Source organism: Homo sapiens, chromosome 12, assembly GCF_000001405.40.
Source record: "Homo sapiens chromosome 12, GRCh38.p14 Primary Assembly".
Taxonomy (NCBI): domain Eukaryota; kingdom Metazoa; phylum Chordata; class Mammalia; order Primates; family Hominidae; genus Homo; species Homo sapiens.
In genome coordinates, this window is record NC_000012.12 from 23,219,166 (window position 1) to 23,228,701 (window position 9,536).

Consider the following 9,536-nt stretch of genomic DNA (forward strand, 5'->3'; position numbering starts at 1 on the left):
TAAGCAAAATTCTGGAATCATGGACTTAGATTTCTTTTCTATGATATGGTTGGAAGATATTTGGCCAGAGTAGAAAATAAGATGTTCCCAGAGGTGGTAAAAATTGAAGTTGAAAAGAAAGGTTTCAATGAGATTTTTCAGAGTACTGAATATAAAGCTAAAAATTGTGGACTATCCTTTACACGATGGGAGTGAAAAAGTTTTTTGAGGAATTCTATGATCAGGATAAACATAAGCAAGAGAAAGAGAGAGATGCTCTTTGTAAAAATGTGGCCCTGTGCTAACTTTTCCGTGGGAATTTTAAGTTCAATTTAATGGCAGTTAATGAAAGAGTACCATGTGCATGGCACTAAAGAAGTGACAATTGATTTGTTTCTTTGCCTGCTGACAGAGAGACCCAAGAAGCAGGTCTAGCAGCCTCCATAGAAGTAAGAATTAAGACTGGCAAATGTGAGCAGATCTAATGCTAATAGTGTGGTCTGGGGCAGGCTGATATCCCAATTCCGGAGACATTTCTGGATGTTACGAGGCATCATGCATTCTGGACAATGAGACAAGTTTGTGCTGCAAAGTTTGATATCAGGAGATACAAGTGCAGGGGAAGGCCTGGAGCCATAATCCCCTTCCTGAAACCTTGGGTTGGTAACTTAACCACTCCAAGCCTCACTTTCATTTTAGTGCAAATAGAAATAACACTAACTATGTTATAGTGTTGGAAGATTAATTGAAATTATATGTGTAAAGCACTTTAAACTGAAAAACATATAAAAATATAAAGTACGCAAATGTGTTTCCAAGTGGACAGACTTGCTATGTGCAAAAATTTTTCAAGAATTTCCTTTTCACAGGGTGTCAGAAGTGTTTCAGCTAGCAGAAATAAATATGCTAATTGGAAGTAGATGAATCATAATCTGTGTCTTTTTTGTGAGAGGTTAGATGTGACATGAACTATGTGAAACTAACAAAAGAGAAGCATGATTAAAACAATTAGTTGGTCAAATCAATGTATCTCAAAGAAGGCCCTGTCTGTAAACTCTCAGCTTCTCTATTTGAACACCTAACTTCACACCATATTTTCATCACATAGTCAATTCTGGAATGCTACATCTGTTTTTCCTTTTTAATTCATGTTTCTTTACATTTTATATTTAGACAATCTCTTTATTCTAAGATTAATCTATAATATTTTTCAGAATTAAAAGTAGAATTGCCACGCACACCATCATGCATGATTCCTCCAAAAGAGGAATCATATAAGATTCCTCTTTTCTGCTTCCCGTATGCCCTCATAGAGCAAGATATTGTGAGAGAAGCAAGAGGAGGAAGAAAACAGAACGGCAGCCACCAAGGAGTAATCACTCCTACCAAGAGACTGGAAGAAAGCAAGAGAAGTTAAGTGGCTTGTTCCCCTGGTTCCCTACTGGCAAGGCTGTCTTAGGCTGGATGTCCATCATTCCTAAGGGCCAACACTTCTTGCAGAATGAGCTTCTCTACAAGAGACTCTTTTTTTCTGGATTCTGCTAATCACTCTCTTCTCTCATACTCTAGGATCTAGGGATGTCAAAAACTCAACAGTTACTAAGCATGGGTTATCCTTGTTGCTTCCCTTCCCCTTCCCACCCCTCTTGTACATAGTCCTGTTATAAGTAAATCCCCCTTAAATTATCCTAATTTGAGCATACCATCTGTTTTCCAGTGAGATACTGACTGGTGGTACATCCTCACAAATAGGATGCTTCTCAATCCCCTCTTTAGACGAGACCATGGAGGATGACAGACAAGGAACAACTTCAGGGAAGGTGAATCAGAGGCCAGGGGAAAGAAATTGACAAGGAAGTTCTTCTCAAAGAGCAGAATCAGGGTCTAATCAAATAAATTTCTCTAATGTGTGCCCAGTAGAATTTAAAAATGCTTTCCATTTTTTCACTCCCTGAATAGGACTTTTTATTGTTGCTTTCTTGCCCCCCTTCCCATCTTATAAATAAGGTTTGTGTGGAAAAAGAGAAGCTAGATTACATGTCTTTTTAATTCACAGGTAATCAAATCAAAGCAGCCAAGTCGTATTCAGGCTTGACAGAGGTAAGGCAGCACCACCAGGAGGCCCCAGACAGAATGACATGGCTGTGTCCTTTTACAGAGGGATGAGTGTGGTTAGTGTATGAGCAGAAGGGAGCTAAAAGATATTTTGTGACCGGGAGTTTAGACTGTGGCAGGTACTGTGAGTGCCCATGAATATCTGTCTTTTTTCATTTCCTGGTACGTAACTGGATTGTATTTCCTAGACGTTCCTGCAGTTTGATGGGACTGAGTTCTAATCTCTGAGTATGAGAGAAAGTGAAATGCAACACTCCCAGGCCTGGCCCATAAAAATTTTCCACAGTCAAATCTTCTTTATCTTCTTTATCCATCTACTACCTACATGGAGGAAACTACAAGAACCTGGAAGAGGTCAAGACATTAAAAAAAAAAAAAAAAAAGCCCAGTCTTTTAAGGACTACCTGGAGCTGAGCCCTCCCAACAACTGGCATCAGACTGAGATATGAATGAGAAAACAAACATTTACCGTAAAGCCAGTGAATTTGGGAAAGTTGTCTCTTAAAGTAGCTGGCATTATTTACCATAAGGAATACAATGAGTCAGAACATGTTCAGCTGCAAGTGTCAAACAACTCAACCTAAACTGGTTTAAAGCAAAATAGAATTTATGAGCTAACATAATGGGGAGTCCAGTGGTAGGGAACCCTTTTAGATACTACTTGAGGCAGAATCTCACTGTCAGCCAGACATGATTCTCTCTGTATCTCAGCTTGATGTGGTTCTGTTCTCTGCATTGTGCTGTTTTCTGTCTTTGGCTCTCCTTCTCCATTACATGATGGCTGCAACAGCTGCAGAATTCACAATCTCACTGCTTGGTTTTCATGCTCAGCCTCCTTTCACTGGCCTGAAATGGTCCAACTTTGGCTCAGCCACCTTTATTGGTCATGGGTGGGAACAGGCTGATTTATGAGGTCCCTTCGGGGCTCCCAGAAAGTAAATGTGATGCCCTCTAAAACCACATAATGGGAGTTCAGATTGGAGGAAAAGATAATTCTCAAAGGAAAGTCAGGGTAGTTCTTTCCTGGTAAGAGGTATGTGACAAAAACTATAAATGCCCACTGCATTCTCTTTCTTCCAATTCTTCCCTTTTGTCTCTCATTGTTATTAAGCAACAATAAAAACATTTTCTTTTATCTCTCTGCTTATTTTTAATACACAGCCCTTTTATACCCCTAATTATGGTTGATATGAGTTTGAGAAAAACCATAAATTTTGTAGTTAGATTCAGCCTAATGAAGGGAGATGCCATTAATTTATAGACATCTTAAAAGATACCTGTCAAAAGGAAATTATCTCTTATAATTAAATTCTTTTCCCTTCAAATACATACATTTAATGTAAAATGTTTTCAAACTGCTTCTAATTTTTCTCATATTTTTAATCTGTTTAGTTTAATTCCTAGTCTTGTATTAATAACAATATTGTTTGTTACTATTTTCATTGCCAATTTAAGCTACATTGTGAGCTAAATAGACTTTTGTGAACTGGTCTAGGAACCTTACAACTATTCATAACATTGTTACAATGGGGAGATGTATTCTGAGTTTCAGTCAATTTTTAAATATTCTTTTAACATAAAATTCATTTATAAACACAAGACTCTTTCATTTATCTTTTGCTATGTAATAAACCACCCTAATACTTTGTGGCACCAAACAGATATTTTTATCTCTCATGGTTGCTTGAGTTGTCTGCTCAGTTTGGTGTCTCTTGCTTGAGGGCATGTCATGTGGTTACAGCCAGGACCGCAGGCATCTGAAGGCTCAGCTAAGTTATTAATAGATGTTTCACGTAGCTCACTCAAATGTCTCACACTAGCCATCATCTGGTAGATGAGCTGGGGATGTTGCAGGAGTACCTTCCGATGGCCACTCCATGTGATTTGGGCTTCTCAAAGTGTGGCAGTAGGCTCTGGGAGACAGAATCCAGACAGTGAGAGCTCCAAGTGACCCAGGTACAAACTACATGGCTTTCTATCACCTGGCCTCAGAAGTCCCTGAATGCATTTCCACCACATTCTATTGGTAAAGAAAGTTAACAAGGCCCACCTAGATTGTAGAGGAGGAAAATTAGACTCCACCTCACAATTTGCAATATAGCAAAGAGTTTTCAGGCATTTTTGTTGCACCAGAGAGCCTATCAGGATCTCTTCAGATGTAGCATAGATGAAATAGCTAAAAGTTGGACTACCTCTGTTCATATTTAGACTTTATTCCTTGTTGATGTTGAGTAAATTTCTTAACCTTCCATGCCTTGGCATCTTCATCTATAAACTGGGGATAATACAGACCTATATGGTAGGATGGTTTGAAAATAATAAGTAAGGTTTTAAAAAATACTTGGTTCAGTTCTTGGCAAATGTTGTCTATCATTATTAACATTATCTGGGTTTAAAGATGATGTTTTAAGGCAAGTGTATCAGGGGGTCTTCAGGAATCCATGGAAAAGGTGTATTATGAAAAAACTGTGTGAATCTCAAAATGTTTTGGCACAAAAATAAACTCATAGTAATTTGTTATAACATGTCTAAACAGTAGCTAGTTTCAGGCACTAAAAAGGATAAGACATAGTTTGAAAAGGCTCCATATCAAAGCAACATGATTTATCTTGAAGCAAGAACAAACATCACATTTATGATGATACTTGGGTGGAAGAATGGTGAAATCATTGATGCTTTAGAAAAAGCTTATCAGAACAATACTTCAAAGAAAACAGCAGTTTACAAATGGATAACTCATTTTAAGAAGGGACCAGATGATGTTGAAGATGAAGCCCACACCAGAAGACCATGTATATCAATTTGGAAGCAAAATATTAATCTTGTCCAAGCCCTAATTGAAGAGGACTGGTGATTAATGGCAGAAATAATAGTCAACACCATAGACATCTCAGTTGGCTCAGCATTCACTATTCTAACTGAAAAAGTAAAGTTGAGCCAACTTTCCCCTGGATGTGTGTCAAAATGGTTGCACCCAGATGAGCTGCAGACAAGAGCAGGGCTTTCAACAGAAACTGCAAACAAGTGGGATCAATGTCCTGAAGCATTTCTTCAAAGATTTAACAGGAGATGAAACTTGGCTTTACCAGTACAATCCTGGAGACAAAGCAGAATCAAAGCAATGGCTACCAAGAGGTGGAAATGGTCCAGTCAAAGCAAAGGCAAACCATTCAAGAGCAAAGTCCATGGCAAGAGGTTTTTGGGGATGCTCAAGGCATGTCACCTATTGATGTTCTGCCGGACCAAAGAACAGTAACATCTGCTTATTATGAGAATGTTTTGAGAAAGTTAACCAAAGTTTTAGCAGTAAAGCCCCTGGAAAGCTTCACCAGAGTCCTTCTGCACCATGACAGGGTGCCTGCTCGTGCTTCCCATCAAACAAGGGCAATTTTGTGAGTTTCTATGGGAAATTATTAGGCATCCACCTTCCAGTCCTGATTTAGCTCCCTCTGGCTATTTTTTGTTTCCTAATTTTGAAAAATCTTTAAAAGGCATAAATTGTTCTTCAGTAAATACTATAGTGAAAAGACTACATTGGCATAGTTAAATTCCTAGCACCCTCAGTTCTTTAGAGATGGACTAAATTATAACTTGCAAAAGTGTCTTGACCTTGATGAAGCTTATGTTAAGAAATAAAGTTTATATTTTTTATTTTTATCTTTTAATTCTATTTTCCATAAATATTTTCAAGTCCCCTCTTATTTGAGTGTGGCGTCATTTCTACGGAGCTCACCCAAGAACGTAAGATCTTTTTTATTTAAGACTGTGAGCAGAGCATGACACAATTTTTGACTGCCTTTTAAAAACAAAACAAAACAAAACAAATCTTAGGGACTGGGCATCAATTCTTCTACTTCCGTCTCGTGATGGAGCTACTTCGATTGCTATTAGTCACATTTGAAGTGAGATACACAAATGCTTTTTGCATAAGCCGGGCTGTTACTATCTTGCTTTTGGTTGGTTACTGGAATGCCATTCATATATCTTCCCTGTCTCCTAGCAGGGAAACTAAATTTGTTTATCATGCAGGCCAGTGGATCTCTTCTACTACTAAATTTGGTGAGTGATAACAGAGGAACTAATTTTTTAGAGGCAAATTAATTTACATGTTCTATTCCACATCACATCTTCTAGGATAACTGCTGTTTAAAATAAAGATTTATTTTCAAGTGAGAACGAAGAAAATATGTTTATGGCATGATGAATTATTTTAATACATATTTTTAAATAGAAAGTAGTGTATAGATTGTTTTTCAATAAGTGAATAATTAGAATTAGCTTCTTTATAAAAAGATACAAGATTTCTATCATAACCTTTTTATCAGTTCTTAAATGGGGCATCCCATGAAAATTATCAGGCTAATACAAACACGTTAGATTTTTATTTTGGCCAAAAGAACTCCGAATAGCAGTTCTACAAACCAAAAAAAAATTTGGCAGAACAGATTGTAGAAATTATAACTAAGCTACAGGACATTTTCTATTTCTAGAAGAAAATGTTACTTGTATCCAAGGAGCATTGTTGTTTCGGGTTTAGGCTCCCTTTCCAAAGAAGTCTGGAGTTTTTTTCATCTCAGCCTACAGAAGAGAGTAGTTAGGTGCTGGGACAGCTTAAAAGACTGCCTTTTTGGATCAAGTATAAAGGGAATGTGAGCCTTCTGGGACTTGGGCAGAGTACATTGCTCAGGTCATCTTGACCTCCAGGGATGACTAGTACTGTTTCTCCCATAAAAGCTGTTTTCCCTGAGCTCTCAAGGGACAGAATGTCAGAGCAAGTAGGGTCCAGAGAGCCCATAGATGATCCCTGTTATTTTACAACTGGGGAAACTGAAATCAAAACTGGAAAGTTAATTATTTGTTGCCTATTTGTAGCAGTGTCCAGGTATTAGACTTCAGCGTTATTCTCTTTCCAGTAGACTAGGAAGCCCTCAGGTAGTCTGTACCCACTGCCATAATGCCACGAGAGTATCTTAGGTTGAATATCTATTGTGACCCAGGGCATCAATAAAAGATTATTGGGGAGACAGACTTCACTCAACTGGAACTTGTACATTAGCTCTAGGGACTGGTTTTCATTTCGGCCAACTCTCGCATTGCTATTAAGTCACATTCAGAGTCCCGTTCTCGCTAAGATTGAACTTTCTCTTAACCTTAGGAAAAGCAAACAGTGCATTAGAGGGTGTTCTTCTATATACCTTTAAATAAGGTCATCCCCTTTATTCATTTACTCACACATCCATGCATTTATTCACAGATATTCATTCAACATATACTCTATGCCAAGCACCACGTGCAGCACTGGGAAAGTAGCACACACAGTCCTGTCTTTATCACCCATGGAAAGTGAAAACATGTTTAACCCTAATCAAATTTCAAATATACACAGTTCTTATCTTATCTGACTCACCTTTTCACACTCTTAACATTGTCTTTAATGAAGAAAGTTCATAATTTTAATAGAAGTATGTTATCAATCTTTTCTTTTACGGTCAGTGTTTTTGTTGTTGTTTTGTCCATTTTAAAAATTGAGCAAAAGATGTGAACAGAAACTTTGCAAATGAAAATATCGAATGGAAAATGAGCACATGTAAAGATGTTCAGCATTATTAGCTAGCAGAGAAACGCAAAGTAAAATTTTAGTACAATACCAATGCGCCTCAACCTGAAGGGCTAAAATTTAAAAATTACAACTGACAATACCAAGTACTGGTGAGAATGTGAAACAACTGGGACCTTCATACATTACTTGGTGTCAGTGTAAGTTGGTATAGCTACTTTGGAAAACCATTTGACAGTCTACTAAAACTAAATATATGTGACTTTATATCCCAGAATTCCACTCCTACATATGTATCCCAGAAAAATAAACATTTATGTTTACCAAAAGATACACAGAAGATTGCTTATGGCAGCATTACTAAGGATATCAAAAATCTGGCAACAACGCAAATGTTCATTAAAAATACAACATGTAAATACATTATGCTATATTTATACAAAGTAATACTGTACAATGGTGAAAATTAGTGAATCCATGCACCAACAAGATGAATCTCTTAGGATTTATGTTGAGTGAAAAACTCAAAACACTGAACAGTATATCATGCATTGTTTCATTTACATAAAGTTCCAAAGCAGATTAAACAAATCTACAGTGCCAGATATCAGAATAATGGTGTTATCAACTGGGAATCCTAGAAGTTGGCATAGATTCTGAATATGTTCTATGTTTCAGTTTGGATGGTGGGCATATGGATATATACAAATGTAAAAAATTCTTTGAATTGCACAAGTAAGGTTTATATACTTTACGTAAGCTATATCTCACTAAGAAAGAAAAACAAAATACATGTTCTTAAGAAATTACAGAAAGTGAACAAAGGAATTCGCAGATGCTACATAACTTATAGAGGTTTGCTGAGTTGTTACACACTTTAGTATCTTTCTCCCAATTCATCCATGGACAAATGGTCAATTGACCTCTGTTTATGGTGCAGACACCTGAGTCTCACCTACCCTTCTATTAAGTCATTTGTGTTACCATCATAAACATCAGTAAATGTCTACTAACCATCTCACTCATAATGTCCTATTTATGGGGTTTGGAGTTTTCCAATGTTGCAATGAAAGTGTCAAGGAAATAGTCTCTCATTACATATTTTCCCTGAATGTATTGTGGGTCTGAGTGAAATATAAAAGATGCCAGTTAAACCACTTTCTAGAGCCGCTGAAGGGGGCTTCCTCAGAATTGTGCCGTATTTGCTGAACTGTCATTTCCTACTACATTTAGACAAACTCGTGTTAATGCTTAGTTCAAGGATTCATAGGTTTTTGTGATTGTAATAGCAAATCATAATTTAGTTTGTGTATAATTCTTACCAATCTTGTAAAATTGCCTCATCTTAATTTAATGTCTCAAATTAATTATAATTGAATCAATCAGCATCTGAGAATTTCGAGAGTTTTTGTAACATCTCTTGGAAGAATTAATGTCTCCTGCAGGGTGTTGTGAAACAAGGGATTTTAATCATTAACAGCCTTTTCTCACCTTTAAGTGTGCTGCAGATTCAAAGTATATATCTCCAAAGTAAAATCTAGACTTCGGCTCACTATAAAAAAAAAAAATGTGTGTGTCCCATCCCACCAGCTGACAGTGTTTCAAGCTATTAATAGGCTGATCCTTGTATACTTGTTTCTCTGATATTTTTAGAGTCTGCATTGGAGTGCATTAAACTGTTTTTTTCCCTCTTCTTAAAGAAGTAATTATTGAGACTAGATTCTGCCAACAACATCATGCAAAATAAAATAATAGCTTGGAATTGTTTAGGACTACAATATTACTACTTTCACATTGTTACCATGAAGAGTATTTTTAGTGGTTTCTTTCATGTAAACAGAGCATTCTATGTAGCCCATCATTACATTAGTTTATGTTTACTGTA

The 9,536-nt window shown here is 36.9% G+C and overlaps 1 annotated feature.

Annotated features, from left to right (window-relative positions):
* Positions 1,950–2,244: a silencer, noted in NCBI's record as "tiled region #9485; HepG2 Repressive non-DNase unmatched - State 13:Ctcf, and K562 Repressive non-DNase unmatched - State 13:Ctcf". NCBI's record gives its function as "represses a minimal TATA promoter and a strong SV40 promoter by Sharpr-MPRA in HepG2 and K562 cells {active_cell/tissue: HepG2 | K562}" and the evidence as "EXISTENCE:reporter gene assay evidence [ECO:0000049][PMID:27701403]".